The 12,129-nt window shown below is 37.6% G+C and overlaps 1 protein-coding gene across 1 annotated transcript in view; it reads right to left on the bottom strand.

Moving 5' to 3' along the window:
- The window catches only part of MYRFL (myelin regulatory factor like), a 133,871-nt gene extending 122,494 nt beyond the window's left edge, over positions 1-11,377 (bottom strand). Inside the window, exon 1 of the mRNA NM_182530.3 lies at positions 11,041-11,377. Coding sequence (NP_872336.2) covers positions 11,041-11,086 — 46 coding nt within the window. The 5' untranslated portion in view covers positions 11,087-11,377. The remainder of the gene's footprint in view (positions 1-11,040) is intronic.
- Positions 11,378-12,129: the final 752 nt, after the last annotated feature.

Here is a 12,129-nt window from a genome sequence, read left to right as displayed (position 1 = left end):
TGGAATTAGCCTGCTCATGCTAACAGCTAGATCTTACTCTTATATTCACACAGAAAAATCGTTCCAAGGAATATTTACTCTTAGCAGAAGAGCTTTGACTAGCTGTTATCTTGTGGAATTATAATCATTTGTGTCATTTCTGCCTCTTCCTGCACATAGGACTGATGCGGGAGTGCTGGGTAGAGGAGGGTGTGTTCCCTAGTTAGGGCTCCACCTCCATGGACCTAGGTGAGGACAGGCATTTCTGCTGCATTTCCCATGACCACCCTGGCCTGCCACGTCCCCCATCCTGTGCCTATAAAAACCCGAGACCCCAGCAAGGCAGAGACAGAAGCAGCTGGAGGGCAAGAGGAGCACATTGGTGAAGGAACACACAGGCGGCTGGACGTCAAGAGGAATGGACCCACACCGGCATGCCGGCTAGCCCCTGACCGGCAGAAGCACACGGAATTTGGCCAGGGCAATCCGGGCCACTGAGTGGGAAAACCAACTCCCTTCTGGTTCCCCCACCTGCTGCGAGCTACTTCCAGTCAATAAAACCTTGCACTCATTCTCCAAGCCCACGTGTGATCCGATTCTTCCGGTACACCAAGGCAAGAACCCAGGATAAAGAAAGCCCTCTTGTCCTTGCGACAAGGTAGAGGGTCTAGTTGAGGTGGTTAACACAAGCCTATAGACGGCAAAACTAAAAGAGCACACTGTAACACACATCCACTGGGGCTTTAGGAGCTGTAAGCATTCACCTCTAGACACTGCCATGGTGTTGGAGCCCCACAGCCTGCCCGTCTGTATGCTCTCCTAGAGGTTTGAGCAGCAGGGCACTGAAGAAGCGAGCCACTGCCCCTGTCACACACCCTGTGAGGGGGACAAGGGAACCTCTTCCATGTCAGGAACTTTCATGAGACTTATCAATAGATTTGTTTCAAAGCAACAAGCTTCCCTAATCCAACAATGGAAGAAAAAAAGAGGATCATTGTCTTCTCTCTTTCCATCTACGGAATCCACTACATATACAGAACACAGATAGGAACAAGGGCAGTAAAATTCCAAAGATGTCTAATCTGCTTTTGCACTGTTTTAATACAGATGAATAAAAAAATAGCTATGCAAATTAAGAAACTGTTTCCCATGCATGCTTTTATGAGCGGTTAAATATATGAGTTGTACTGGAGTTCTTTATGGGATGTTAAATAGTAATATATCCTTCTGGATTATATGGACTTTCAAACCTTTACTTCTGGTTTTTCATGAACAAAAACAGCAGAAGTAGTTAAAAACTTCTATCCCTTTTAAGGAGGTAGAGAATTTAGTTCAGATCTGAGCCAGCTTCCCCAAACCCTGCCAAGGCATGGCTGAATGACCTACTTGAGGTCAGTGATTAACAAGGTCAGCAGATAGCATTTTTCTGTATGAATTTTATACCACCCCGGCCTTTCCTGAAAGACAGTTGATAGATACAAGAACCGGTTCTTTTAAAATGAGAGCATCACAGAACATAGGTAAACTGAAAAAAGTTATCTCCTTAAAATGAATTTGCAGTCTCTCAACTTCAGAACTTCTTACAGATTTACTATAAAATTAGAACAAAATCCTTCAGACGATCTAAGAACAGGACAATAATAACAATATATTTCTTTCAGCTTTGAGTCTAACCCCAAACAAAGAATGCCAACTAAATCTTGGAAATATATTAAGTTTCACTGTTCTGTGTTTTCTGAAAAATGTAGATTTCAAGACCAACATGGAAAAGCTGAACCTTTTGCAATAAAAGGAAATACTCAGTACTTTGTCCTTTGTTGCTTGGCAACTAAGGGCTATAAATGGATTTTATGATTATAAATTCTCTGGAATTAATGTGAACATGTAAAACTTTTAATAACTCCCTGGAGACAGGAGTGTTTCTTTGAAAAAGAAATGTATGGATCTATGTATGTAGCTGTACTTGTTCTTGTTTCACAATAAATAAAACAAGCAATTTGGTTCCTTCACACTTGCAAATACTATAATAAAAACCACTACCATTTATTCTGTCATTTTAACGTTTTATCATTAATCTTCACAACCGTAAGAGGGTAGGTGTTATTATCCCCATTTGACAGATGGAGAACATTGAAACTTTAAAAGGTCATACAACTAAGATGCAAAGAAACCAGGATTCAAAGCCAAGTGTGCCTGAAACAAGGCATACACCATTAGCCTGCATACCACAGAGATTCCTAGGAAGCATATTTCTCAGCTCTTAATAGTTGAGCTATTGGTAGCTTTAACCCTACGAGAATGACACTAATTCTCAGCATCAAGTCACATGATGCTCTCTTCAGAACACATTACTTCTTATTGCCATATATGACATTTGTTTCTTATATTGTTAATACCAGGGTATCAACCACTGGGGTCCCATCTTGCTGGACTTTTTGTCCTGAGTCAGATTACCCAAAATTACAAGATTAAGAGTTAATATTTATACTGCACTTCTGAGCATAGCCTGCTGCCTAACTTTCCTCTGTATATTTTTGTTATGCACAGAGCAGGACTAAAGAACAGTGATGGTGTTCTGATATCTTTGTACTCTTATTAGTGGACTTACATTATGAGTTTCTGGAGCTGCCTGCTCAATGAACATAAACCATTACCTTTTTACCACTAACACCTCATCTTATTGTGCTAGAGCTGGGATTTTCTAAGGAATAATGGCAGATGGCAGTAAAGTGCCAACTGCTAGCAGTCCGGAATAATTTTACATGCAAATTGTACCGAAAAAAAAAAAAAAAAAAAGCAAGCCCTATCTTCTGCTTCACAGGAGACATGAGTTCTACAACTATCTCTATAGATGTTCCCTGTGACCTGATTAGAAGACAATGTGCACAGTGGATAGGGACACAAGCCTTCAGAGCCAGACAGACTTCTGTCCAAATCTAAGCACTTCACATACCTAATAGCTGTGCTACCTTGGGCAAAGTACATACCTTCTCTGAATCTGTTTCCTCCTCTCTAAAATACTGACAACATTATCATTCATTGTGTTGTGCAAATTAAGAATTAATATAAAGTCTTAGTACAATATCCAACATAAAGTAAAGCATTCATTAAATGGCAGTGGTTTTCCTTCATTAAATGATAGTGGTTTTCTTACTGATCACAGGCTGCTGTCTTCGACCCACTGACTGGACATCCTTCCCCACTGCACGAAATCCTTTTTTCAAGGTCACATACAACCTTCTTTTCCCCAGATTCTATAGGCAATTGTCTTGTATTTCAGAAACATTTGAAACGTTTAACCATATTCTTCTTGAAACACTTTCTTTCCTAGTTTAACAACCACACTCTTCTGGTTTCCCTCCTACCTCACTAAACATTCCTTTACTAGTTACTTTCACTTGGATCCCAAAATGTGATCTGGGACCCTTTTCTCTATCTGTACTCTTCTTGGTGATCTCACTTAGTCTCAGGGGCTTTAAACTGATGACTCTTTAAGCTGATGATTCCCAAATTGACAACAGCAGCTCTAATCCTTCCTTGGGTTTCAAATTCAATAATCCAACTGCCTCCTCATCGCTTCCACTTGGTTGTCTAAAAGAGATCTCAAACGTAAAATGTCCCAAATGAATTCTTAATTACACACACACACACACACACACACACACACACACACACACACAAGCCTGTTCCTCAGTCTTCGACATCTAAGTACATTGTACTACCATCCATGAATTGTTGACACCAACACCTAGGCATCATCCTAAACAGATTCCTCTGTCTTCCTCACACCCACGTCCCACCCATCTGCCCCTGCCTGTTCTCCTGCTTAAAACTCTCCACACTGAGAATAAAAATCCAAACTCTAATGTCATTTTCTACCACCCTCCCCATTGTCACTCACACTTCAAGCGCTTCCACCTCACTGTTCCTTTCCTACCCCTCTCCCAACCACTTCAAGCTCAGTGACGGCACAGTTGCTCTTTTTACCTAAAATGTTCTTCTCCCAGACAGATGCATGACTTGCTTCTGGTCATTCTTCAGGTCTCAGCTTGAATGTCATCCCCTCAGAAACCATTCCTGATTGTCTTAGCTCAAGTAACTCTCTCTTCATCAGACTCTCTGCACCACCATCCGGTTTTATTTTCTTCATAATTAATGACATTTTGAAATCATTGTTTTATTTATCTCCTATCGTCTTCTCCCTTCATCTAGAGAAGAAGCCACTATAAGGCAAGGATTCTGCTAATTCATCACAGAGTCCCTGGCTCTTAGGAGAGCAGCAGGCTCATGAGAGACAGTCAAATATTTTTTGATTGTGTGAAAGTTGATCACACAAATTAGGTCATTCTTGTCATAGCCAACTAAAACAGAGTCATGAGGCCAGGGGGAGAAAGCACTCAGGGCATATAACATTGCTCAAAAAATGTAATTCTCTACAAGCCTGGATGCTGAAACTGCTTGCTATATAAACTTAGACCAGTTTTATATCTAATCGTTGCTGAAACAACCTGCTACAACTTTTAATACTAGTTTTACCCACCACTGTCACTCACCAACCAAAACTTGCCAGCTCCCTAAACTTTAATAGTGCCAATTAATTTCCTCAAAGAACAAGACATAACATTTCTCCTTTCTATAAAACCTCCAGCCTCCTCTTTATTCTTCAAGCATACCAAAGACAACCTAGCCTGCCTGTATGCTCCAAATTGCAATTCTTTCTTCCCAAATAAAACATTAAATTTAGAGATTCATCTCTACATTTTTATTTTGACTTTGACAACTGACTGAATAAACAAGGTAAGGAATAAATGACCTTGCAGCCACTTACTATGTGGATAACCCGCAAGCAAGTTACCTAACCTCTGTCAGCCTCATGTTTCTCATACAAGGATAGAAATCCCCCAGGGCTGCCTTGATGCTAAACGGAGAAAATAATAATTAAGAAACAATGAGAATACTAGGAACTAAAAATTACTGTCTCTCTGTGCCAGGCATAGTGCTTCACAACATTTTGAGATAATAGGGTTATCCCCATTTTACAAGCAAGGAAATTAAGGCCTGCAGAGCCTTATGAACCTATCCATAGTCCCACAGGTAGTCAGTGGCAGAGCTAGGAATCACAGCCAGGATGACTAACTCAGAACCCATGTTCCTAAGGATGATTCTGCACTCAGCACATAGTAAGTGCTTGACAACAGTTATTATGATTATTAGTTAGGTTGTAGATCAGGGGTTGGTAAACTTTTTTTGTAAAGAGCCAGATAATATTTTAGGTTTTGCAGGCCACATGGTCTCTATTGCAACCATTCACCTCTTCGCTCACAGCATCAAAGCAGCCACAGACAATATGTAAAAGAGTATGTTACAGTAAAAGTTTATTTGCAAAAACAGGCTGCAGGCCAGATTTGGCCTGTGGTCCATAATTTACTGACCCCTGTTGATGATGAATAACTAACATTAAGAGATGCTTACTGTATGTTTACTAAAAAGTACAAATTATATAATCCCATTTTTGTTTTAAAAAGCACACAAGATACACACCAAACTGAACACAGTTAGCACTAAATAGTAAAATTACTAGTGATAATGATCTTCTTCTTTTAGGTTATCTATATTATCCACAATTGTCCATGTATTGAATGTTTAGCTTCCAAGACATTGTAGAGTCTTCCAGAAACCAGGTTCTAACTTCAAAGTTGAAAGATGACAATAACAATAACACCAAAGAAGGTGGGGAGTCCTCCACTCAGAAGGGTTTGTTTGGGTGATTTTGTTCCAGGACTCCCCAGAGATGGTGATAAATCTGACAGGTCTCAAAGGTAGCGTGGGCAGGTGACAAAGGTCAGCTCTAATCTCCTTACGGCACACTTCAAATTCTAATTAAATCACCTTCATTTTGGAGATCCCAGAATGAAAGAAGAAAGGTATTTCTTAGAAATGTTCAGATAATTTCATAGAAATGTTCAGATAATCCTAAATTCCTTGCATGACCTGGCTGGTTCTTCCTGTCTTTGGCATGTTCTTGTTCCCAGTCTCCTGGGAAGTCCCTGCTGTTTCTACACAGAATCAGAGGCTGCTGCACAGATGAACAATGAACTCCTGCATCTCTGAAATTATCCCACAGAGATATATATATATATAGATATCTCTATATATCTATATAAATGTATTATCTCTCTCTATATTATCTATAATATATATAGAAACTATATCCATAGAAACCTCCAAAAATAGTATAAACAAGGACAGTATAGGGATCCCATAGAAATAAAAGCTCTTTCAAAAAACAGAAGGTAGAATATATCCATACAGATACATTATCTCTCTATATATTATCTATATATAGATATCTATATCTATGTATATCTGTGGGATAATTTCAAAGATGCTGGGTACAATATAATACCTAAAATTCCACCATTAGAGATTAACCAGACCTATTCCTGGAGGAGGTAATCTTTCTGCTGCTTTTGATCCAGACAGTTTCAATGTTCTATGAAAGCACTTTGAATACAAGACTCTACAGAGGTGTAAGGTGGTGTTAGATCATTTGCCATTTGCTCCTCTGTGCAAGCTTAGGTTTTATTAGGACAGAAGGAAGAGGGCATAGGAAACTGGTTGTCTAAGAGAGTGGGAAAGTTGTGGCCCCAAAGACAGAGAATTGAGAGACTGGCCTGAGGCCAGAGATACTCTTTACCCATAAGACAGACTTGCCCAGTGCCAGCACTGGGCAGGTTCTGTTCTCTACACTGCATTCGGCTTTCAGAGCTTCTGACTCTTCTGTCAGAAATTCAGAAACCAGCTAATCAAAGTTGTTTTCACATTTTAGAGAAATAATATACAGGAACCACTTAAGACATTTATCATTTTATCTCTGCTAATAATGGAATCTGAGGCATTCTATCAACATCTCTGTTCTATTCACCGGACCATTCTGCTACTGGGCAAGTTTTCCCTCTTCATACAGTTGAACTTGCTGGGTGCCCCAGCCCTGGTTAGAATTCAATATCTGCTTGTTGAATGGACTAGTCTTTTGCACTGTTCTTTCATTCATTCACTACATAAATATCAGTAAGTGCCTACTATATGCCAATATCATACAGGCACTTTTTCCAAGCAACGGCTCTCCTCTACACAGCAATTCTGCTTAACCTCCCTGAAGCCCTTCTAGATTAATCCCACCTGAATTAAGCACTTCAGTCACTGCTTGTCTGCTCCAAAGCCTTCAGCATTTCCCCCATTTTCCTGAACATGGGGCACTTCCGTGGTATTCCTATACAGCTTATGGACAGCAGATGTTTCTGCCTTCCCTGCATCCCCACTGCCCTCTTTTGATAATAGCTATCTGGAGAATTTAAATCTTAAGCAGCGAGACAGGGGCAGAAAATGTTCAAAGCTTTTTTGATGGCAGTTTCCTGAACAGACTATTCTTCCTCATAGATCTCAAGAGCTGCCTGGTGGTTACTGTCCTTCCACAGGTTCTAGCAGCTACTCCCACAAACCTCAACAAGTGAGCCAGAGTTTCTGCCAGTTTCCTTCTTGAGCTTTTACTTGTGATCTTAGTATGTAGTTTTTCCCACGGCATACTTTTCCCCACTCTGCTCAATCTGGGCGGGAATCTCCTCTTTGCTTTCAACGCTAAGCCAACAAAGCATTTGAGCACCTACTTCAGGATGAAGAAGATAAATAAATAGCTTCTCAAAAATTTGTTCTTTCGAGATTAAATATAATCAACAATACTGTTTTCAAATCATTTTTAATAAACTATTTTTAAGAGCTTGGAAACAAATAATGAGTCCTCTGATATCAAGATAGTACAAATTAAGAGTCTAAGATTATAGCTATCAAAGATAAATGAAGTAAAGTGAGGAATGGGATTTACTGTACTTCATCTTTTAATTCCTTTTCATCCAGAAGGTTGTTGTAAGAATAAAATGATATGATGTAAAGTAAATAGCACGGCGCTTGGCACATGGTAAATGCTCAACAGATGTTATTAATTTCAAACTTGAGGTGAAATTGACAATGTTTTCAAGTTAACTTAAAACTTTGCAAACGTTAAAGTTTCAAGTTAACTTAAACTTTGCAAACGTTAAAGCATATAGATTTCTAAAGATAAAACCATGACTCTCATAGAAATATAATATGAATGCATGTCACAGATTGTATTTAACTACTTAATTAATGAAGGGACCAGGAAGATGTTACAACCGTTTCAAAGGAGAATTCAAACATCAGATACACACATACACTGTATAGAATGAATTTATAAATAAATGCAAAAATGGCTTTTACTGAAACTATTGATCCCCCAAGAACATATTTCATTTGCATATCTATATATAAAAATCATTTGCACCGATATCAGTTACCTGCAATTTACAGAGTTTTAACATAGCTCTACCACACTGAAAGGGGCAAACCCCATAGAATCCCATAGCCCAGAATGATGTGATTTAGGCACAGATTTCCATGGAAGACACCCAGTAATCCTTTCAATCCATGTCAAAATCTTTTACAATTTTTCTTGACACATGGATCTTAAACAGAAGCATTTTGCTGAATTAAACCTATTCTCCTTTAAGATAAACTCTTCCCTGATTATAACATTATATATTCAAATTATAAAGCACTTAGATAATAAAGTATAAAGAAAATAAAAATCTTCATAATCCTATCACTCCAAGGTAGTTACTATTAATGCTTAAAGTATATTCATATGGTTTTTTCTATGTATTTGTGTGTGCATGAATGGAAATATATTAACTGTTTTCAACCCAGTTTTAATAAACTTTGCTATAGAAAGTTATCTATATATATCTAATTGTGTTTATATATTCCACATTGTAAGTCACTTTTTTGCTTAAGATCATAAACATTTTTCCTTGTCATCATTTTTAATAGCCATAAAATATTCCATTATATGTTAGAACCATAATTAATAAATCCACCACTATTAGAAATTTAGGTTGTAACCAATTTTTAGTTATTATAAATAAAACAATGCACCCGTCTTATGACAACCTTTTTTTTGAAGTGGTACCATTTTGCTGAAAAAACCAAACATCTCACATGGCGTCTGAGTTTCCAGAGGATGTTGCGATCTCTAGAGTGCCTGATTGCGCCTCTTCTGCTTTAGCTCACAAGCCTACCTATTGCATCAGTGGCAGACAGGGATTTGAATTAGAACCAGAATTATCAGCTACCCAGAACAACCACCCTTGTCATTTTCCTGAGACACCATGAAGATTTAGTCACGTTTGGAAGTTTAAAAAAAAAAACTAAGATCATCATGAGCTTTGACAGTCAAGGCCATTTAATTCAAGATAATTTTTAATATAAAAATGTTTATAAGGAAAACATATATTATTTAGGGCTTAGTTTCTTAGAATGAAGAGCCTGAGGAAATGGAGAAAATAGCTTTCAGGTGGGTAACAAATTGTCAAATTTTTTTCTTGATTTTCAAACCCTGAATTTTTTATATATGAGATGGTGTTTGATTAGAAACAGTTAACATATCAATAGGAGCATGACATGAAACAACTGGTTCTTCTCATTAGAATATCAGATTCAAGGAGAGGGTATAGCTCAGAGGTAGAGCACTGGACTGCAGATCAAGAATATCAGCTTCAGTTCAGCTGCCTTCATTTGAAAAGGGTCAAGAGAAAGGAAATTATTAAAATGTAAGAGAAGGCATCCAAAGCCCTACAAGCTACCATTTAAAGAAAGTGGTTGTTGAACCTGACTCAGAGTAGGCGCTCAATATTTGCTGAATAGTAGAGGTAAGAAAAAATTGACAATTAGCTGTGTGATTTTCAGGGGGATGGGACTCACTTAAGCTAGTGCCTTCATTTTAATTTGTGAAGTCTACCACCTTTTCCAACTATTCACAGATAATGTAAGAAAAACACTGAAGACAAATACTTTTATAATAATGATCAGATAATTGTAACAAGCTGTAGAGGGGACTTGTAGAAACTATATCCATAGAAACCTCCAAAAATAGTATAAACAAGGACAGTATAGGGATCCCATAGAAATAAAAGCTCTTTCAAAAAACAGAAGGTAGACCAAATTCGATATTCAGGTCTTCCCTAGCTCTAGAAGGAAATGGAGTAGATTTTTGCATGTATACAATAAATTGCTGGTTTCTCTAAAATAGATGCAATGGTAGATTGAAGCTTGCCACCTGCTGCTCAAACGAAAATTATATATGATATAAAATCAGGCAATAACAGTCTAGCAACACTAGTGTGCCTACCATGTGCCAAGCATGACCCAGGTAGACAATACCAACTTGGCCACTGTCAGAGACAGAACACTCAATGGGATGGATGGTAGGACAAGATAATGTGATAATTCTCTTGGTCTTATGTTTCTTCTTGCCATTTCTGGAAAAACCCAAGCCACAGAAACTACCCCATGGTGTTGATTCCTCCCAATAGTGACATAGAATCTCACTATTTCTTTGGTACGCCCCGTCACTCTTTAGTGTTCAGCATTGTTTACTATTCAGCCCATTCCATTCAACTTTTAAATATATATTATTTGTCAGGCACTTTACAAAGCACAAGAAATACCTAAAGCACTTTTCTCGATGTGCTGCTGACTGATCCCTAGATTCTGTAAATGAGCAGGTCTTCCCTCACTTCTTCTCATACTCCCTCATGCAAAATACCTTACCGTGTAAAAATGATGGTCACGTTTCCCTTCACATGGAATTTGAGCATGGCTATGTAGTTTTTTTAAACATAGGGCATGGGAAAAAATAAAATCTAGTACAGGACAGGGACAAGTAATAACAACATAAATATGCTGACCCCTTGATTCTAACAACCAAACTATAAGATGAAAATCCTGTTTTGTTTAAAATCTCTATCCATACCATTGAATTTTGCTCCCAATGTAGCAAATAAACCCCTACTTTTGATATTAGGAGAGTTACCTAAGTATGATAGCATTTCTTTCAAAACAAAGTTTAAGTGAATACGGAAAAGGTGAAACAGGGATAGTGAGCATTTCTCAGAAGCAGCAAATTCATGCTGGAAATTGGCCTCTTACCTTCAAAGAACTGCTGCAGGGCCTCATTTTCGCCTACCACATCCATGGTACTGTGATCCTAGTACTATTTCCTCATAAAACAACGGTTATCAGACCTCAGGAAATAAGTACTGTCCTTTTGATTCGAAGCCTACGAATGCTCTTGAAAAATCTTCATTTTCTTTTTATTGGAGTGAAGCATATCTTCAGCCATCAAATTGTGCCCAGAAAGATGGTTGAGTTTTCAAATGTGATTATAAAACTGGAAGGATATACAACCATACATTTAAAAAAAATTCATGAAGAGGGAAGAGGTAGCAAATTCATCTGTCTTAATATAAGGAACTGTTTCTACTCTGCTTTTCGTCTTTAAGGACCTTTGTCCTTAGTGACACATGCAATTACATAAATGGGCAATAAATACATAGTCTTATCTCATATTTGTCCTTTTACACCAATATATTTATATCTCCACCTTTATCAACTAGATCCACTTAGCTACCACCAATAAAACATACTTATTTTTTTAACCTAGAAAAAAGGGATAAATCAATATAATTACTTTTATAGATACCTATCATCACAGGTAATTTTAAAAGGCTTGTGATAATGAAAAGTTAGAATTTGTTAAGTATTTCCAAACTTACAGCAAAAACTTAAATTCCTTAATACATACCTGTTCCATTTCCTCTAGAGCTTATTTGCTTCCAAAGCATAAACCATAAAGTATGAGAAGTCTCTCTAACAAGCAACGAAAACTGCATTACCAATTTAATAATTCTTACAGTTGAGTCACTAGTAACTTGATTCACTCCTAAATATAAAACCATACCCGAATAAATGTTTTGTTTTCACTGCTTAGCTATAATTCATTTAACAATAGCCTAAGAAAATACAATTAGGAAATTAAATTATCCTTTCGCCCCTTCCTTTTCTTTTTTCCCAACTATTTGGAAAAAAAATAGTATCATAAAATATCCATATACTCTTCATCTACACTTACCAATTATTGACACTCTCTCATATATATATATATATACACATACATATATATACATATATATATACATATATACATATATATATGAGACAGAGTGGTAGCAGTGGATA

Source organism: Homo sapiens, chromosome 12 (assembly GCF_000001405.40).
Source record: "Homo sapiens chromosome 12, GRCh38.p14 Primary Assembly".
Taxonomy (NCBI): domain Eukaryota; kingdom Metazoa; phylum Chordata; class Mammalia; order Primates; family Hominidae; genus Homo; species Homo sapiens.
This window is presented reverse-complemented; position numbering and strand designations above follow the sequence as displayed.